At 46.0% G+C, this 20,201-nt stretch overlaps 1 protein-coding gene and 1 long non-coding RNA gene across 9 annotated transcripts, besides 5 other annotated features; one reads left to right on the top strand and one right to left on the bottom strand.

The window, feature by feature from the left end:
• Positions 1-452: 452 nt before the first annotated feature.
• On the bottom strand, positions 453-1,183 carry ZNF888-AS1 (ZNF888 antisense RNA 1). Its single transcript, NR_186336.1, has 2 exons — positions 1,068-1,183; positions 453-859 (listed from the first exon to the last, which is right to left on the bottom strand). It is a non-coding gene; the product is annotated as a ZNF888 antisense RNA 1 (long non-coding RNA).
• Positions 711-1,442: an enhancer, noted in NCBI's record as "H3K27ac hESC enhancer chr19:53426343-53427074 (GRCh37/hg19 assembly coordinates)". NCBI's record gives its function as "activates a minimal SCP1, AML or CMV promoter by ChIP-STARR-seq in naive H9 embryonic stem cells {active_cell/tissue: H9 hESC(naive)}" and the evidence as "EXISTENCE:reporter gene assay evidence [ECO:0000049][PMID:30033119]".
• Positions 722-891: an enhancer, noted in NCBI's record as "active region_15061". NCBI's record gives its function as "activates an Ori minimal core promoter by ATAC-STARR-seq in GM12878 lymphoblastoid cells {active_cell/tissue: GM12878}" and the evidence as "EXISTENCE:reporter gene assay evidence [ECO:0000049][PMID:35858748]".
• Positions 982-1,031: a silencer, noted in NCBI's record as "silent region_11000". NCBI's record gives its function as "represses an Ori minimal core promoter by ATAC-STARR-seq in GM12878 lymphoblastoid cells {active_cell/tissue: GM12878}" and the evidence as "EXISTENCE:reporter gene assay evidence [ECO:0000049][PMID:35858748]".
• Positions 1,104-20,117, top strand: ZNF888 (zinc finger protein 888). 8 transcript variants are annotated; one of them, NM_001384654.1, is made up of 6 exons: positions 1,104-1,163; positions 5,595-5,713; positions 6,601-6,673; positions 7,128-7,310; positions 9,210-9,336; positions 16,353-20,117. In NM_001384654.1, the coding sequence occupies exons 5-6, from the start codon at positions 9,303-9,305 to the stop codon at positions 18,365-18,367; spliced, it is 2,049 nt and encodes a 682-aa protein (NP_001371583.1). In that variant the 5' UTR covers positions 1,104-1,163; positions 5,595-5,713; positions 6,601-6,673; positions 7,128-7,310; positions 9,210-9,302; the 3' UTR covers positions 18,368-20,117. The 8 variants fall into 8 exon arrangements, with proteins under 8 accessions (NP_001371583.1, NP_001371584.1, NP_001371581.1 ...); NM_001384655.1 differs by lacking the exon at positions 5,595-5,713; NM_001384652.1 differs by lacking the exons at positions 5,595-5,713; positions 7,128-7,310 and adding an exon at positions 6,828-6,924 and having other exon boundaries at positions 6,535-6,673.
• Positions 1,172-1,221: an enhancer, noted in NCBI's record as "active region_15060". NCBI's record gives its function as "activates an Ori minimal core promoter by ATAC-STARR-seq in GM12878 lymphoblastoid cells {active_cell/tissue: GM12878}" and the evidence as "EXISTENCE:reporter gene assay evidence [ECO:0000049][PMID:35858748]".
• Positions 1,443-2,176: an enhancer, noted in NCBI's record as "H3K27ac hESC enhancer chr19:53425609-53426342 (GRCh37/hg19 assembly coordinates)". NCBI's record gives its function as "activates a minimal SCP1, AML or CMV promoter by ChIP-STARR-seq in naive H9 embryonic stem cells {active_cell/tissue: H9 hESC(naive)}" and the evidence as "EXISTENCE:reporter gene assay evidence [ECO:0000049][PMID:30033119]".
• Positions 20,118-20,201: the final 84 nt, after the last annotated feature.

The raw sequence follows: 20,201 nt of genomic DNA, 5'->3' as shown, positions 1-20,201 counted from the left end.
GGTGTTACTTTGTCACTCAGGCTGGCTTGGACCTCCGGGCTCAATGATCCTCCCGCCACTGCTTCCTGAGTAGCTGGACCTCAGGCTCCCGCCCCCACTTCCACATTTCTGCTGTGTTTAAGTAGCAGGTGGTGACCTCACTCCTCCCTGGCCTGAACACTCCCTCCGGCATCCCAGGCGGTGGCCCTAGGGAAGTCTCTGAAGCTGAGCACAGGGTGGACTCTCCCTCCGAAGCAAATGGAGAATAGAAAGGGAGAGATTTCTATTCTGTTCTGTGTACCATCAGCATGAGATCGTACTTTCTGCCTAGGCAGGGCTTTGCATTTCACGTTCTAGTTTGCATCCCTGTTCCAGACAATTCCAGGGCTTTTGAATCATGCCTCAGCCTTCCTGGCCACTCTTGCCTCCGGTGTAGCAGGACGAGCCACAGACAAAACCTCTCAGACACCGAGTTGTAGAAGGAAGGGCTTTATTCAGCTGGGAGCATCGGCAAGCTGCCTTAAAATCCGAGCTCCCCGGGTGCACAATTTCTGTCCCTTTTAAGGGCTCACAACACTAAAGATTTCACATAAAAGGGTCGTGATTGAGCAATCTAGGGGATACGTAACAGGGACTACAGTCCCAGATATATACACAGGGGTTTCGTGCACTGGTAGAGAGAAACAGAACAGGGCAGGGAGTTTCATAATGTTCTTCTATACAATGTCTGGAATCTATGAAAAACATTGGTTTCTAAGTTATGAGTTGATTTTTAACTATTGGGTTTAGGCCAGGCAGGCCCAGGCCTGGTTTTGGGCGTGGCGCAGGGCTGCCTGTCTTCGGTTTTACTTCCTTGTTGTTTTTTTTCTTAAAACAGGTACTGAGTATAAAACAATATAAAACAATATGAGAGGGTCTGTCTCTTCCCTCACCAAAACCCGAAAAACAGCGGCTAGGTACGCGGCTGAGAGAAGCACAGATCCGCCCCCGCCCCGCGTCTGCCGGTTCTACAGGGCAGGTCTCTCCGCCTGGCGCCCCGCCCCTACCTCGCCCAGGCCCCGCCCCTACCTCGCCCAGGCCCCGCCCACCTCGTTGGCTCCACGGAGGCCTGGCTTCTGTCCTGTGCTTGTAGATTCGCCCGGACCAGGAAGCGGATCGCGTGGACTGGAAGTCACACTGCGGCGGTGAGTTTTGCTCTGTGTTGTATTGAGGCTGTGCCTCCAGGTCCCCGGCAATTCTGTACCTGGGATGTGGGGTCTCCACAGACCTGGAAATTCTCGCCCTTCTTCCTTCAACAAGAGCAAATGGAGACATTCCCCTAGGAGTCCGGAAGTCACTTCCTTTTGGGTTTAAAGTCGCCCTGAGGCTGCCCTGTCCTCGGTCTTTTTGCTATAGGGCAATGTATACAGTTTGTATCGCGTAGTTTTCCCGTTCACAACCGTTTGTTGACTCCTCCCACCCCGCGCTTTTTAAAGTCCTCACCCGAGAGGTGGATCCCTGCTCTGGCGCTTCCCAGCCTCACCCTCGTCGGCCCCTGGAGCCCAGCGCTGACACCACAGTCCCAGGGAGGCCGCGTTCTCTGCCCGGTGGTGGGATCCTGCGGACCCCACCCTTGTCCGAAGGCGTCATCTCCCCCCCACCTCCCTCCTCATGCCGGGCCCTGTTGCTCCCCAAGTCTCCCCTCCGCAGTCACCGCTTTCCCTGAGCCCGCGTTGGGGAGGTACCCGGGGCCTGTCCTGTGACACGGGGTGTTCTTGCCTGCCCAGCTCCAGCCCCTGGAAAATGCGCTTCTCTGGGATGCAGGCGTCTTACTCCAAACCCTCCTGTGATTGTGTGGGCCAAAGGGATCAGGAGACAGAGAGAGGGAATCAGAGAGCAGTAGAAAACCTGAGACAGATAAAAGAAGAAGGAGAAAGACCCATAACAGATGGCAAAGTAGGGGATGGTCAGGGATTTGCCAAGAGACAGCAAAAGTGAAAAAACAAAAGATAACAAAGCAGGAGGAGAAAAGCAACTGGAGAAATGTAGAGAAAAGCTGGATGTACAGAGAGATGAAGGACAGACAGCAAGGTAGGGAGAGGGGCAGCAAACAGAAAGGCTCATGAGAATGAGGGAGAGGAGGAGGGATTTGGAGCCAGGGCAGACAGAGCAGAGTGGTGCTGGTGGCAAGGAGAACAGAGGGAGAACCACAGCAGGGAGGACACCTGGGAAATCTGGGGTGCCAGAGAGTGGGGCCAGGGGGGTATAACGGGGAAGAGAGAATTTAACAGGGAGAGCTCAGGAGAGATGGGAGAAGAGGTGGAAATCTATGGACATTGAGAACAATCTAAAGATTGGGGAAAAGGAGCAACAAGAGGTTAAATAAGCTGTGGATGGAGTCCAGCTAATTTTTGTATTTTTAGTAGAGACAGGATTTCACCATGTTGGCCAGGCTGGTCTCAAACTCCTGACTTCAGGTGATCCACCTGCCTCGACCTCCCAAAGTGCTGGGAATACAGGTGTGAGCCATCACACCTGGCCACCTATGTATTCTTGAATGAAAAAAGTTACTTCTGTCTTAGTTCAACAGCTGACTCTCTTTCCCTGTTTTCTTTTCTTTCTTTCTTTCTTTCTTTTCTTTTATGAGATGCAGTTTTGCTCTTGTTGCCCAGGCTGAAGTGCAATGGCACGATCTTGGCTCACTGCAATCGCCACCTCCCTGGTTCAAGTGATTCTCCTGCCTCAGCCTTGCTGAGTAGCTGGGATTACAGCCATTCGCCACCATGCCTGGATAATTTTTGTATTTTCAGTAGAAACGGGGTTCCTCCATGTAGGTCAGGCTGGTCTACAATTGCTGAACTCAGGTGATCCACCTACCTCGGCCTCCCTATTTTCAAGGTCAATAGCTGTGTGTTTACACTTTTGCATTTTGTAAATGTTACTGTAATTTTCTTGTAAGGAAAAATTAAATGTTAGGAATTAATGGCATCAGAACCTTGCAAAAGAAGTTTCTTTAGCCCAGGTATGTGAAAGATGCTTCTCTAATTTTCAAGGATGGGGTGATAAAGACCAACCCTTCCCATTAGCCCTTCCAGGCCCCCATGTAAGAATTCAGGCACATCTTCTTACTCATCTCAGACCTTCTCAGGGTAACTCGGTGAAAATGTTTTCACTGTGAGGACATCACAGCTAAATCTAAAGTAAGTCATGTCATTCCCTGGCAGGGAACCCTCCACTGGCTTCCTGTGTTCCCCAGGACAAAAGCCCATCTCCTCACTGTGGCTCCACAGCCCTGTGTCCAGGGCCCCTGCCAGTGTCCAGCCTCCTCCTGGGAGCTTGCCCCCATCTCATGAATCCCTCTGCCCCAGTCACATTTGCTTTTCTCTTTTCCCAGATATCAAAATACTTCCTGTCTCAGGTCATTGTCCTGCTCTTATCCTATGTCCCTAAATGGTGACAGCCCTGTCCCTTTCTCCTCCTTCAGATCTAGGCTCAGAGATATCTCCCATGTCCTCCCACTGCCATCTGAAGTTCCCTCTGCCCATCAGTCTCTATCACGTTACTCAGGTTTATTATCTCTGCATCAACCACATCAGAAATGAAGATTTTTTTTTTTTTTTTTTTTTTTTTTTTTTAATATTTGAAGAGATTTATTCTGAGCCAAACATGAGTGACCCTGACCTGTGACACAGCCTCAGGGGGTCCCAGGAACACATGCCCAAGGTGGTCGGGGCGCAGCTTGGTTTTATACATTTTAGGGAGACAGGAGACATCAATCAAATACATTAAAGAAAGACATTGTTTGGTCCAGAAGGGCGAGACAACTCAAAGGGGTGGTGGGCAGGCCTCCAGGCTATAGGTAAATTTAAACATTTTCTGGTTGACAATTGGTTGAGTTTGTCTAAAAACCTGGGATCCATAGAAAGGAAATGTTCAGGTTAAGAGAAAAGATTGTGGAGGCTAAAGTTTCTTTGAGGTCTTACAATGGCTGCCCTTAGAGAGACAGTAAGTGACAAATAATTCCTTTTTTTTTTTTTTTTCCTTTTCTTTTTTTTTCTTTTTTTTTTTTTTTTTTTTTTTTTTTGCCTTCAAGCATCTGTTTAACAAAGCACATCTTGCACCGCCCTTAATCCATTTAACCCTGAGTGGACACAGCACATGTTTCAGAGAGCACAGGGTTGGGGATAAGGTCACAGATCAACAGGATCCCAAGGCAGAAGAATTTTTCTTAGTACAGAACAAAATGAAAAGTCTCCCATGTCTACTTCCATCCACACAGACCCGGCAACCACCCGGCCTCTCAATTTTTTCCCCACCTTTCCCGCCTTTCTATTCCACAAAACCTCCATTGTCATCATGGCCCATCCCCAATGAGCCGCTGGGCACACGTCCCAGACGGGGTCGTGGCCGGGCAGAGGGGCTCCTCACTTCCCAGTAGGGGCGGCCGGGCAGAGGCGCCCCTCACCTCCTGGATAGGGCGGCTGGCCGGGCGGGGGGCTGACCCCCCAACCTCCCTCCCGGACGGGGCGGCTGGCCGGGCAGAGGGGTCCTCACTTCCCAGTAGGGGCGGCCGGGCAGAGGCGCCCCTCACCTCCCGGACGGGGCGGCTGGCCGGGCAGAGGGGCTCCTCACTTCCCAGACGGGGTGGCTGCCGGACGGAGGGGCTCCTCACTTCTCAGACGGGGCGGTTGCCAGGCAGAGGGTTTCCTCACTTCTCAGACGGGGCGGCCGGGCAGAGACGCTCCTCACCTCCCAGACAGGGTTGCGGCCCAGCAGAGGCGCTCCTCACATCCCAGACAGGGCGGCGGGGCAGAGGTGCTCCCCACATCTCAGACGATGGGTGGCCGGGCAGAGACACTCCTCACTTCCTAGATGGGATGGCGGCGGGGAAGAGGCGCTCCTCGCTTCCTAGATGGGATGGCGGCCGGGCAGAGACGCTCCTCACTTTCCAGACTGGGCAGCCAGGCAGAGACGCTCCTCACTTCCCAGATGGGGTGGCGGCTGGGCAGAGCCTGCAATCTCGGCACTTTGGGGGGCCAAGGCAGGCGGCTGGGAGGTGGAGGTTGTAGCGAGCGGAGATCACGCCACTGCACTCCAGCCTGGGCACCATTGAGCACTGAGTGAACGAGACTCCGTCTGCAATCCCGGCACCTCGGGAGGCCGAGGCTGGCGGTTAGGAGCTGGAGACCAGCCCGGCCAACACAGCGAAACCCCGTCTCCACCAAAAAAAACATGAAAACCAGTCAGGCGTGGCGGCGCGCGCCCGCAATCGCAGGCGCTCGGCAGGCTGAGGCAGGAGAATCAGGCAGGGAGGTTGCAGTGAGCCGAGATGGCAGCAGTATAGTCCAGCCTTGGCTCGGCATCAGAGGGAGACCGTGGAGGGAGAGGGAGAGGGAGAGCGAGAGGAGGGAGAGGGAGAGGGAGAGGGAGAGGGAGAGGGAGAGGGAGAGGGAGAGGGAGAGGGAGAGGGAGAGGGAGAGGGAGAGGGAGAGGGAGAGGGAGAGGGAGAGGGAGAGGGAGAGGGAGAGGGAGAGGGAGAGGGAGAGGGAGAGGGAGAGGGAGAGGGAGAGGGAGAGGGAGAGGGAGAGGGAGAGGGAGGGGGAGGGAGAGGGAGATTTTTTTTTTTTTTCAAACAGAGTCTCACTCTGTCCTCCAGGCTGTGAGTGCACTGTCATGATCTTGGCTCACTGCAACCTCTGTCTCCTGGGTTCAAGTGATTCTTGTGCCTCAACCTCCCAAGTAGCTGAGATTACAGGTGTGTGCCACGACACATGGCTAATTTTTGTATTTGTATTTGTATTTTATTTTATTTTAGAGTCTTATTCTGTCACTCACGCTGGAGTGCAATGGTGTGATCTTGGCTCACTGCAACCTTCACATCCCAGGTTCAAGTGATCCTCCAACCTCAGCCTCCTGGGTAGCTGGGATTACAGATGCCCACAAAGCCTGGCTACTTTTTGTATTTTTAGTAGAGATGAGGTTTCACCACGTTGGCCAGGATGGTCTTGAACGCTGACCTCAAGTAATCCACCCACCTTGGCCTTCCAGAGTGCTAGTATTACAGGCTTCAGCCATTGCACCTGACCCAATTTTTATATTTTTGGTACAGACAGGGTTTCACCATGTTTGCCAGGCTGGTCTCAAACTCCTGACCTCAAGTGATCCTTCCACCTCAGCTTCCTAAGTAGCTGGGGTGACAGAAACACAGATGTGCACCACCATACCTGGCTAAGTATTTGTATTTTTGATAGAGAAGGAGTTTCACCATGTTGCCCAGGCTGGTCTCAAACTTCTGAGCTCAAGCAATGTACCTACCTTGGTCTCCGAGAGTGCTGGGATGATAGGCATGAGCCACCGCACCCAGCCTCTGCAAGTGGTTTGGTCAGGTCTGGGTCTGTGCCTTGAAGGGGAGCTCATTCCAGCCCAGATCCCTACTGCTGCAGCGTGTGTGTGGGCTTCTCCAGAAGGGGAGTGGGAGTTTTCCTATAGGAGTTTATTGTCCCTGGTATGGTGGGCAGCAGAGTGGACCATATTTCCCAGGGTGAGGTCTCCTTTGTATGTGTCGTTGTTTTACAGGGAGGGGGTATGTTGACTCTGAGCAATAAACAACATATTTCTAACATTCATGATTGACTTCTAAAGACTCTGGGTATGTGAAGAAGAAACTCAGAAGAGGAAGAGGAAAGCAAAGGAGTCAGGGATGGCTCTTCCTCAGGTGAGATGATATTCTCTGTGGATTGTTCTGTCTCCTTCCTTTCAGAAATGCTGGGCCTTGGAGTTGGGAAACTTCTCTGAGTCTGAAGCATCCTGCGTGACAGGTTTGCTCACACTCACCCATGCCTTCCCTCAGTCCCTCTCATCTCACCTAGATTCCATCTCTCGTGACCCAATGACATGAACATGAGAAGAGGTTGCAGTAGGCATGGTCCTGGGAAGGGCTCACACACAGACATGGATGGAGACGGGGTGAGGGTCCTATGGTGTCAGTGGTGTTGGGCGGCAGGGATTGTTCAGGGCCGCATCTGGATGCACTGTCAGTTTTCTGTGGACCAAGATTAGAGTAGCTGCCAATGGAAGTCACATATTAATGTGCACAAAGAACATGGTAAATTCTAGAAAAGACCGATAAGAGGAAATGTTTTCTGCCTGATATTAAACTACATTTTTAGGTAATTGAGTGAGTCTGACCAACATGGAGAAACCCTGTCTCTAGCAAAAATACAAAATTAGCTGGGCATGGTGGTGTGTGCCTGCAATCCCTGCTACTCAGGAGACTGAGGCAGAAGAATGACTTGAAATCGGGAGGCGGAGGTTGCAGTGACCTGAGATTGCACCATTGCACTCCAGCCCAGGTAACAAGAGCAAAACTCTGTCTTAAATAAATAAATAAATATAATGGAAATGAATGATACATGAATGATTCCATCATTATGTTAAGAATATGGAATCAACATAAATAATAGCAGGAGATTCATTCAACCATTCTTAGCATATTACGCTCATGGAGACAGTGGTGTTACTATGGAGAGGCTCGTGAAACAGGCTTTTGGTAAAAATGATTACAATTTTTCTCAAATATGGGAGCAGTACTTTTTTTTTATTCTAGAGGATAAAGCTATATTCTCATTCCACCTATTATTATTATTTCTGTTGTTTGTTTCTGAAACGGAGTCTTGCTCTGTCACCCAGGCTGGAGTGCAGTGGCATGATCTTGGCTTACTGCAAACTTTGCCTCCCGGGTTCAAGTGATTCTTCATCCTCCAGGCCAGGCAGTTGAAAGGGTGATTGCTTCCTCTAGGATGGGGCATTTCCTGTTTTCTTAGATCTGACAAGATTCCCCCCAGCCCCCAGTTGTCAATGTGTCCTTTTCCGCCAAGGTGAGATTCCTCTTCACTTAAACAAAACTTGCTACTTTTTATATATTTAAAACCTATATATATATATATATATATATATATGTATATGTATATGTATGTATATAATACATATATATGTGTATGTATGTATATAATATATATACACACATCCCCACACATATACACACACATATATAGGTACACACACACATGTACATACACATATATATGTACACACACATATATATTTTGAAAATCTTTTATATTTTGAAAATCTGGGACAAATGACAACCCTTTGTATTAACATCTAGTTTTTTGTGAGTCTGTGTAGGTTTTATTATTTTGTGAACATTTAAAAAATGGATTTTGTACTTTGAGTAAGTTTGTTTTCATGTATTTTATTTTATTTTGAGACGGGGTCTCACTTTGTTGCCCAGGCTGGAGCACCCTGGCATGATCGTAGCTCACTGCAACCTCTACCCTCAGGGTCAAGCCATCCTCCCACCTCAGCCTTCAAAGTAATTGGAACCACAGGTGCCTGCCACCATGCCCGGCTGATTTTTTATTTTTAATTTTGAGACCTAGTTTCCGTTGCCCAGGCTGGAGTGCAGTGACGTGATCTGGGATCACTGCAACCTCTGCCTCCTGGGATCAAGCCATTCTCCTGCCTCAGCCTCCCACATAGCTGGGACTACAGGCATGTGTCACTGCACCTGGCTGATCTTTTACTGTGGACGTTGTCATCTGTGAAGACATCACTCATGCTCTGTCTCTTCGAGATACTGAATGTCACTTGGTGTGTCCATAAAAGTTTCAAACATTTCTATAGCAGGAACCCTGCACTGATTTTTTATTTATTTCTTATATTTTTTACAAACATAAGAAATTCATACTGACAGGGTGTCTTGACCTCTTCAAAAAGTATAATAAAGACGTCATGTGAGGCCGGGTATGGTGGCTCATGCCTGTAATCCCAGAACTTTGGGAGGCCGAGGTGGGCAGATCACGAGGTCAGGAGATCGAGACCATCCTGGCCAACATGGTGAAACCCCATCTCTACTAAAAATACAAAAAAATTAGCCAGGCATGGTGGCAGATGCCTGTAGTACTATCTACTTGGGAGGCTGAGGGAGGAGAATGGCATGAACCTGTGAGGTAGAGCTTGCAGTGAGCCGAGATCATGCCACTGCACTCCAGCCTGGGCGACAGGGCGACACTCCATCTCAAACAGAAAAAGAAGAAAAAAAATACATCATGTGGTGAAGAATCCCTTACTCGGATTTGTCAGAACATTCACTACAATTAAATCCATGCTTTCCCCTCTCTTCTTCTCATTTTCTGTAAAGATAAGATCTCCTCTCATAACCATTTGGTTAAAATGTGTTTTCATTTCAGGGTCTATTGACATTCAGGGATGTGGCCATAGAATTCTCTCAGGAGGAGTGGAAATGCCTGGACCCTGCTCAGAGGACTCTATACAGAGACGTGATGCTGGAGAATTATAGGAACCTGGTCTCCCTGGGTGAGGATAACTTCCTTCCTGGGGATGTTCCCTTGTGGATCTTTGCATTTTCTCTTGTTTCTCTTGGGAGTTGCATCCTTGCTTGACTAAAATGGAAGCTGTATTGATTTTGAAATGAAAAGCTTCATGATGTAGCATCTGGACTTTCACTGTCCCCTTTGTTTAGATGTTCTGCATTCTTCATGATACCTCAATGTGGGTTCCAGGACTAAAGTAGGCATAAAACTTTATGGCAGGCTGGGCATGGTGGCTCACGCCTGTCATCCCAGCACCTTGGGAGGTATGTGGATCACTTTAGATCAGGAGTTGGAGACCAGCCTGGCCAACATGGAGAAACTCAGTCTCTACTAAAAATACAAAAATTAGCCAGGGATGGTGGCACACACCTGTAATCCTAGCTCCTAGAAAGGCTGAGGAAAGAGAATCACTCAAACCCGGGAGGTGAAGGTTCTAGTGAGCCGAGAACACACCACTGCACTCCAGCCCAGATGGCAGAGCAAGACTCTGTCTCAAAAAACAAAAACAAAACCTTACTGCAGAGTTTAAAGATATCCAGTTCCCTGTTTGCTTCTCCTGTGCTTTCGATTCTGTAGTTCTTGGAAGAGAGCTCGATGTCCACATACTACATATTACAGTGCTCCCCAAGCATTCAGAATGAGGCAGTCAGTGGAGGAATTTGAGAAATATTTTCCTAGATCTATCTGCAATGTCTTCTTTCCTACTGAAACATAGGGCTGGGACTCTAGAAAAGCTCCAGCACTTCATGGTCCTTTCTTTTTATAAGTAGGAGTCTCTGACCTGTTATCTCCATGTTGGAGCAAGGGAAAGAGCCCTGGACTGTGGAGAGTGAAGTGAAAATAGCAAAAAAGTCCAGATGGGTGGGAATATATTACAGGTGTAAACGCAGGTAAGAGCTCAGATGGGCAGAGTGGAAGCTCCACCTTCAAATAGTGTGTGGGGAAACTCTCTGCAAGTGGGAGAATTCTGTGGGTAAAGGAAAGTTTCAATCCTGAGATCTTTGAAAGGACATCTTTCTTTGCCCTCACTTATCTCTCTGCTCTTTCTTTTCTTATGACAGAGTCTCACTCTGTCGCCAAGGCTACAGTGCAGTGGTGCAATTTTGGCTAATTGCAGCCTCCGCCTTTTGGGCTCAAAGGATTCTTGTGCCCCAGCTTTCTGGGTAGCTGGGACTGCAGGCTCTCACCACCATGCCCAACTAACTTTGTGTTTTTAGTAGAGATGGGGTTTCACCATGTTGGCCAGGCTGGTCTCAAACTCCTTATCTCAAGTGATTCACCTGCCTCAGCTTCCCAAAGGGCTGGGATTACAGGCGTGAGCCACCATGCCCAACCGTTATTATTTTAAATAGTTTTGTCTTTTAGTTCTTAGTAAACATATAAGTGGTTTAAGCATGATTCCAGTGTGAATATAACAACCACGTTAGTGTCCATTCCTTTCAGTACGCAGAAGTGAAGTGTGTCGTATAGATATATGGGCAGAGGTTATTGTTGCAGGTATGTTAAACATCTTAAACTTATAGTATAATAATGAAACTTAAAATTTCTGTAACCTGGCCGGGTACAGTGGCTCACGCCTATAATCCCAGGACTTTGGGAGGCTGAGCCGGGGGCGGATCACCTGAGGTCAGTTCAGAACCCGGCTAGCTAACATGCTGAAACTTCATCTGTAGTATAATTACAAAACTTAGCCAGGCACTGTGGTGGGCAGCTGTAATCCCAGCTACTCAGGAGGCTGATCCAGGAGAGTCACTTGAACCTGGGAGGTGGATGTTGCAGTGAGCCAGGATCGCACCATTGCACTCCAGGCTGGGTGACAGAGTGAGACTCCATCTCAAAAAAAAAAAAAAAAAAAAAAGAATCCATAACCTGCAAAAACTACTTCTTCTCCAGTAGAACTTTTTAAATTTATGCCAGAATTATTTCTGTATATGTTGCATTTTCATTAACATATATTTACAGTGTTTTTTCATGACTTTTAAATAATATGAAAAAAGTTTAGTTATGAAGAAAAGGTACACATATGCCAGTTTCTGTATCTGTCCTTTTATTAATTAATTTATGTGTTTATGAGACATAATTTTGCTCTCATCACTTAGGCTGAAATGTAATGTTGCGATCTTGGCTCACTACAACCTCCATCTCCCGGGTTCAAGCAATTCTCCTGCCTCAGCCTCCGGAGTAGCTGGGATTACAGGCATGCATCGCCACACCCGGCTAATTTTGTATTTTTAGTAGAGACAGGGTTTCTCCTTGTAGGTTAGGGTGGTCTCAAACTCCCGACCTCAGTTGATCTGCCTGGCTCATCCTCCCAAAGTGCTGGGATTACAGGCATGAGTCACCATGTCCGGCCTATCTGTTTTTTAATTTACCTTTACTGGAGAACTTTGTATATGCTTCTGGGTTGGAGTTACTCTTTAGCCTTCTTTCATTTATTTTTATTTTCTTTGAGACAGAGTCTCAGTCTGTCACCCAGGCTAAAGTGCAGTGGTGTGATCTCGGCCCACTGCAACCTCCACCTCCCAGGTTCAAGCGATTCTCCTGTCTCAGCCTCTCAAGTAGCTGGGACTGCAGGTGACTGCCAACATGCTGGGCTAATTTTTTTTTTTTTTTTTTTAGTAGAGATGGGGTTTCAGCTTGTTAGCCAGGACTGTCTCAATCTCCTGACCACGTGATCCTCCCACCTCAGCCTCCCAAAATACTGGGATTACTGGCATGAGACACCGTGCCCGGCCTGTCTCAATGTATTTAAAATATGTTATTGCTGGCCAGGCACGGTGGCTCATGCCTGTAATCCCAGCACTTTGGGAGGCCGAGGGGGGCGGATCACGAGGTCAGGAGATAGAGGCCATCCTGGCTAACATGGTGAAACCCCATCTCTACTAAAAATACAAAAAATTAGCCGGGCGCGGTGGCAGGTGCCTGTAGTCCCAGCTACTCGGGAGGCTGAGGCAGGAGAATGGCGCTAACCCGGGAGGCGGAGCTTGCAGTGAGCCGAGATCTTGCCACGACACTCCAGCCTGGGTGACAGAGCAAGATTCCGTCTCAAAAAAAAATAAAAATAAAGGCCGGGCACAGTGGCTCACTCCTGTGAGCCCAGCACTTTGGGAGGCCGAGGCGGGTGGATCACGAGGTCAGGAGATCGCGACCATCCTGACTAACACGGTGAAACCCCTTCTCTACTAAAAATACAAAAAATTAGGGTGTGGTGGCGGGTGCCTGTAGTCCCAGCAACCTGGGAGGCTGAGGCAGGAGAATGGCCTGAACCCAAGAGGCAGAGCTTGCAGTGAGCTGAGATTGCACCACTGTACTCCAGCCTGGGCGACAGAGTGAGACTCCATCTTAAAAAAATAAAAATAAATAAAATAAAATAAAATATGTTACTGCTATTAGATGACTTCATTTATTGCAAGTCTTACAGCACAGGCTCTTAACTTCCTTTGTTTAATAAGATTTGTCAGCCTTCGGTGATGTTGATGATAAGATGCTCTTTTTCCTGTTTCTGTCATTTCACTGTCCTGTTAGAAATAGCTTAGACTGATGCTGGGCACGGTGGCTCACGCCTGTAATCCCAGCACTTTGGGAGGCCAAGGTGGGAGGATCACGAGGTCAGGAGATCGAGACCATCCTGGCTGACATGGTGAAACCCCGTCTCTACTAAAAATACAAAAAATTAGCTGGGCATAGTGGCGGGCGCCTGTGGTCCCAGCTACTCAGGAGGCTGAGGCAGGAGAATGGCGTGAACCCGGGAGATGGAGGTTGCAGTGAGCTGAGATCATGCCACTGCACTCCAGCCTGGGCGACAGAGCAAGACTCCGTCTCAAAAAAAAAAAAAAGAAAAGAAAACAAAAAGAAATAGCTTAGACTGCTGGCTGTGGTGGCTCACTCCTCTAATCCCAGCACTTTCGGAGACCAAGGTGGGCAGATTGCTTGAGGTCAGGAGTTTGAGACCAGTCTGTACAACATGGTGAAACCTCAAATATACTAAATGCCAAAAATGGGCCAGGTGCAATTGCTCACACCTGTAATTCCAGCACTTTGGGAGGCTGAGACGGGCCAATCACTTGAGGTCAGGAGTTCGAGACAAGCCTGGCCAACATGGTGAAATCCCGTGTCTACTAAAAGTACAAAAATTAGCTGTTCATGGTGCTGTGCACCTGTAATCCCAGACTTGGGAGGTTGAAGCAGGAGAATCACTTGAACCCAGGAGGTGGAGGTTGCAGTGAGCTAAGATCACCCCACTGCACTCCAGCCCGGGTGACAGAGTGAGACTCTGGGCTGAGGAGGGAGAATCACTTGAGGTAGGAGAATCATGCCACTACACTTGAGCCTGGGTGATAGAGCATGACTCAATCTCAAAGACAAAAGAGGAAATAGCTTACACTGGGAGGCTTAAGAGACAGAAATTTATTTTTCATGAATTTGGGAAGGGAGAAATCCAAGAGCAAGGTGCCAGCCAAATAAGTTCCTGGTGAGAGGCTTCTTCATGGTTTAGCCCAGCCATCTTCCTGCCATGTCCTAACATGGTGGAAAGAGGAACAGGCAATGAGCTCTTTAATGTCTCTTTATAAATGCACTTTTAGTATTCACAGGTAGTCAACACCCATGGCTAAATTCTCTCCAAGTCTGCATCTGCAGCAACATCCTATTAGAGAATACCACATCTACCAAAGCTTATTTGAGAAGTAGTTATTTATCTTATTTTTTTGAGATGTAGTCGCATTCTCTCACCCAGGCTGGAGTGCAGTAGCATGGTCTCGGCTCACTGCATCCTCCGCCTCCCAGGTTCAAATGATTCCTGCTTCAGCCTCCCAAGTAGCTGGGATTAAAGGCACCCGCCACCATGCATAGCTAATTTTTTTTGTATTTTTAGTAGAGATGGGGTTTCACCATGTTGTCCAGGCTGGTCTTGAACTTATGACCTCATGATCCACCTGCCTCAGCCTCCAAAAGTGCTGGGATTACAGGCATGCACCACCGCGCCCTGGTGTTATTCAGTTCTTTTTTTTTTTTTTTTTTTTTTTTTTTTGAGACGAAGTCTCGCTCTAGTCCCCAAGGTTGGAGTGCGATGGTGCAGTCTATGCTCACTGCAACCTCCGCTTTCCAGGGTCGAGTGATTCTCCTGCCTCGGGTCCCCCAAGTAGTGGGGATTACACGCCCGGCTAATTTTTGTATTTTTAGTTGAGACGGGGTTTCACCATGTTGGCCAGGCTGTTCTAGAACTCCTGACCTTGGGTGATCCACCCGCCTTGGCCTCCCAAAGTCCTGGGATTACAGGCATGAGCCACCATGCCTGGCCATAGTCAATTCTTATTCCTTATAATGCTGTGTATTTTCTTGACCTCATATATTAGAAGGTAGTGATCTTAACATGTATTTCTGTTCTTATGTTGTGTACTGGTGGTAAGAACAAGTTGTGGTTTTTTTCTTAAGAGGGAATTGTTTAGAATTCTGCAGGCAGTATAAATCTACTTATTTTCTTGCTTGTTTTATCATGGGTTACAGTATTTTATTATTTGATTAATGAATTAATAATATATTTTATTAATTGATTTTATGATTTTACATGTGAGTTTTTGGTACGTGGTATGCAATATAACTGAGAGATTCCACTCATTAATGTCAAAAGTGCCCCCGGGCGCAGTGGCTCATGCCTGTAATCCCAGGATTTAGGAGGCTGAGACATGTGGGTCACCTGAGGTCAGGAGTTCGAGACGAGCCTTGCCAACGTGGTGAAACCCCATCTCTACTAAAAATTTAAAAATTAGCTGGGCATGGTGGTGTGTGCCTGTAATCCCAGGTACTCAAGAGGCTGAGGCAAGACACTCGCTTGAACCCAGGAGGTTGAGGTTACAGTGAGCCCAGATTGTGCCACTGCACTCCAGCCTGGGTGACAGAGCGAGACTCCATCTCAAAAAAAAAAAAATACAAAAATTTTTTTTAAAAAGTTACAAAGCGCCTGTTCCACATGGATATAGGTAATTTTGTAACAGTTATTCAGAAAAATATGGTATTAACATTTTCTTTTTTTTTTGAGATGGAGTCTCACTTTTTTGCTCAGGCTGGAGTGCAGTGGTGCGATCTCAGTTTACCACTATCTTCGCCTCCCGGGTTCAAGCAATTCTCCTGCCTCAGCCTCCCAAGTAGCTGGGATTACAGGCTCCCGCGACCACGCCCGGCTACTTTTTGTATTTTTAGTAGAGACGGGGTTTTGCCACGATGGCCAGGCTGGTCATACTCCTGATCTGAGGAGATCCACCTGCCTCGGCCTCCCAAAGTAGTGGGATTACTGGTGTGGGCCACCAAGCCCTGCCTTTTTTTTTTTTTTTTTTTTGACTCGAGTCTCACTTTGTCACCCAGGCTGTGGTGCAGTGGTGCGATGTTGGCTCACTGCAACCTTTGCCTCTTGGCTTAAAGTGATTCTTGTGCCTCAGCCTCCCGAGTACCTGGGATTACAGGCACGGGCCACAACACCTGGCTAATTTTTGTAATCTTTTATTATCTTCTCTGTGCTGTGATGGTTTGACAGTACAGGATTTCCATTGATTTTGGTTATCCTTACAAGAGCTTGTTGTTGATTATTTACCAATATAGTACATTGTCCGGTCCTTTAGCATTTATTTCTATACAGTAAATATGCTGTAAATATGAAGAATATATATTTTCTTCTTTTTGTTGTTACAGTGATAAATTTTTTGCAAACTGTGACACACTTTAAGGTCACAATGGAAAAATACTCCTTACTTTAGGCTTACACATGTTTGTGCCCTGTCAGTGTTTTGTCATGATATTAGAAATAGGCTTCCATAGAAATGATCTGAAGTACATGTAATCGCCCTTCATTTATTAAAGGATCTTCCTCCTTTTGTGTTCCTGAACTTTGAAGCTCATGTTTGAGATGTTTAAAATAAGTATTGTTTTTGGTGTCATATTTACACGTTTCAGTATTATATATTATCTGTACTGAATTGGAAAACTATTGGCGTTTATATTTTGTAGATATCTCTTCCAAATGCATGATGGAGTTCTCATCAATAGGGAAAGGCAATACAGAAGTGATCCACACAGGGACATTGCAAAGACTGGCAAGTCATCACATTGGAGAATGTTGCTTCCAGGAAATTGAGAAAGACATTCATGACTTTGTGTTTCAGTGGCAAGAAGATGAAACAAATGGCCATGAAGCACCCATGACAGAAATCAAAGAGTTGACGGGTAGTACAGACCAATATGATCAAAGGCATGCTGGAAACAAGCCTATTAAATATCAGCTTGGATCAAGCTTTCATTCACATCTGCCTGAACTGCACATATTTCAGCCCGAAGGGAAAATTGGTAATCAACTTGAGAAGTCTATCAACAATGCTTCCTCAGTTTCAACATCCCAAAGAATTTCTTGTAGGCCCAAAACCCATATTTCTAATAACTATGGGAATAATTTCTTCCATTCTTCATTACTCACACAGAAACAGGATGTACACAGGAAAGAAAAATCTTTCCAATTTAATGAGAGTGGCAAATCCTTTAATTGTAGCTCACTCTTTAAAAAACATCAGATAATTCATCTAGGAGAGAAACAATATAAATGTGATGTATGTGGCAAAGACTTTAATCAGAAGCGATACCTTGCACACCATCGTAGATGTCACACTGGTGAGAAACCTTACATGTGTAATAAATGTGGCAAGGTTTTTAATAAAAAAGCATACCTTGCACGTCATTATAGACGTCATACTGGAGAAAAACCTTACAAGTGTAATGAGTGTGGCAAGACGTTCAGTGACAAGTCAGCCCTCTTAGTTCACAAGACAATTCATACTGGAGAGAAACCTTACAAGTGTAATGAATGTGGCAAGGTTTTTAATCAACAATCAAACCTTGCACGTCATCATAGAGTTCATACTGGAGAGAAACCTTACCAATGTAAAGAATGTGACAAAGTTTTCAGTCGCAAATCATACCTTGAAAGACATAGGAGAATTCACACTGGTGAGAAACCATACAAATGTAAGGTTTGTGACAAGGCTTTCAGACATGATTCACACCTGGCACAGCATATTGTAATTCACACTAGAGAGAAACCTTACAAGTGTAATGAGTGTGGCAAAACGTTTGGTGAAAATTCAGCCCTCTTAGTTCACAAGACAATTCATACTGGAGAGAAACCTTACAAGTGTAATGAATGTGGCAAGGTTTTCAATCAACAATCAAACCTTGCACGTCATCATAGACTTCATACTGGAGAGAAACCTTACAAATGTAAAGAATGTGACAAAGTTTTCAGTCGCAAATCACACCTTGAAAGACATAGGAGAATTCACACTGGTGAGAAACCATACAAATGTAAGGTTTGTGACAAGGCTTTCAGACGTGATTCACACCTGGCACAACATACTGTAATTCACACTGGAGAGAAACCTTACAAGTGTAATGAGTGTGGCAAGACCTTCGTTCAAAATTCATCTCTTGTAATGCATAAGGTCATTCATACTGGAGAGAAACGTTACAAGTGTAATGAATGTGGCAAAAGTTTTAATCACAAATCAAGCCTTGCATATCATCATAGACTTCATACTGGAGAGAAACCTTACAAGTGTAATGAATGTGGCAAGGTTTTTAGGACACAGTCACAACTTGCATGTCATCATAGACTTCATACTGGAGAGAAACCTTACAAATGTGAAGAATGTGACAAAGTTTTCAATATCAAATCACACCTTGAAATACATAGGAGAGTTCATACTGGAGAGAAACCATACAAATGTAGGGTTTGCGACAAGGCTTTTGGGCGTGATTCATACCTTGCACAACATCAGAGAGTTCACACTGGAGAGAAACCATACAAATGTAAGGTTTGTGACAAGGCTTTCAAGTGTTACTCACACCTGGCACAACATACTAGAATTCATACTGGAGAGAAACCTTTCAAGTGTAGTGAGTGTGGCAAAGCCTTTCGTGCACAGTCAACACTTATTCACCATCAGGCAATCCATGGTGTAGGGAAACTTGACTAATGTAATGATTGTCACCAAGTCTTCAGTAACGCTACAACCATTGCAAATCATTGAAGAATCCATAATGAATAGAGATCTTACAAGTGTAGTAAATGTGGCAAATTTTTCAGACATCGTTCATACGCTGTAGTTCATGGGTGAACTCATACTGGAGAGAAACCTTACAAATGTCATGATTGAGGCAAGGTCTTCAGTCAAGCTTCATCCTATGCAAAACAGGAGAATTCATACAGGAGAGAAACCTCACAAGTGTGATGATTGTGAGCAAAGCCTTTACTTCACGTTCACACCTCATTAGACATCAAAGAATCCATACTGGACAGAAATCTTACAAATGTCATCAGTGTGGCAAGGTCTTCAGTCTGAGATCACTCCTTGCAGAATATCAGAAAATTTATTTTTGAGATAATAGTTCCGAATGCAATGAGTATAGCAAACCATCAAGCATTAATTGACACTAGAGTCAGTTCAGCATTGACTTGAGTTTGAGTTGACTTAACGTTGAGTTCAAGCATTAATTGACATTAAAGTGTTTATGTTAAGAGGATTAGGCTGAGTGCGGTGGCTCACACCTGTAATGCTAGCACTGTGGGAGGCCAAGGTGGGTGGATCTCTTGAGGTCAGGAGTTTGAGACTAGTGTGGCCAACAGGCGTGAGCCACTTTTCCCAGCCTGTTTTTTGTTTCTTTAACAAAAACAGATACAGATTTTTTTTTTTTTTAATCACCTGGGTGCAGGCAAGCTGAGTCCGAAAAGAGAGTCAGGGAAGGGAGATGGGGTGGGGCCGTTTTATAGGATTTGGGTAGGTAGTGGAAAGTTACAATCAAAGGGGGTTGTTCTCTGGCTGGCAGAGGTGGGGGTCACAAGGTGCTCAGTGGGGGAGTTTTTGAGCCAGGATGAGCCAGGAGAAGGAATTTCACAAGGTAATGTCATCAGTTAAGGCAGGGACCAGCCAATTTCACTTCTTTTGTGGTGGAATGTCAACTGATAGGCATTTTTATGGGTACCGTGTTGAATCTAAATCACATTGGGTTATATAATTACTTAACAATATTAATTTTTCCAAACTATCAATATGGGTTGTATCTCTATGTATGTTTTTAATCATTTTGATCAACATTTATAGATTTCAAGGTACAAACTTCTCAGCTTTGTACGTTTATTCCTAAGTATTTCTTACTTTAAGTTCTCTAGCAAATGGAAGTGTTTTTAAATTTTCTTTTAAAATTGTTTATTGTTAATGTGTGGAAATTCAAGTAATTTTTGGTGCCGATATTGTATTGTGCAAATCCACTGAATTTATTTAGTAGTTTTGAGGGAAGAGAGAGACCCTCTCATATTGTTTTATATTGTTTTATACTCAGTACCTGTTTTAGGAAAAAAACAAGGAAGTGAAATCAAAGACAGGCAGCCCGGCGCCAGGCCTGAAACCAGGCCTGGGCCTGCCTGGCCTAAACCCAGTAGTTAAAAATCAACTCATAACTTAGAAACTGATGTTATTCATAGATTCCAGACATTGTATAGAAGAACATTGTGAAACTCCCTGCTCTGTTCTTTTCCACTCTGAACACCGGTGCATGCAGCCCCTGTCACATACCCACTGCTTGCTCAAATCAATCACGACCGTTTCATGTGAAATCCTTAGTGTTGTGAGCCCTTAAAAAGGACAGAAATTGTGCATTAGGGGAGCTCAGATTTTAAGGCAGTAGCTTGCCGATGCTCCCAGCTGAATAAAGCCCTTCCTTCTGCAACTCAGTGTCTGAGAGGTTTTGTCTGAGGCTCATCCTGCTACTTTTCTTGGTTCCCTGACCTGAAAATGAGGTAACTGATGGATG

The sequence above is a fragment of the Homo sapiens genome, chromosome 19 (assembly GCF_000001405.40).
Source record: "Homo sapiens chromosome 19, GRCh38.p14 Primary Assembly".
In the NCBI taxonomy this organism is placed as follows: domain Eukaryota; kingdom Metazoa; phylum Chordata; class Mammalia; order Primates; family Hominidae; genus Homo; species Homo sapiens.
Note: the sequence above shows the minus strand (reverse complement) of the source record. Positions and strands in the feature narration are given on the sequence as shown.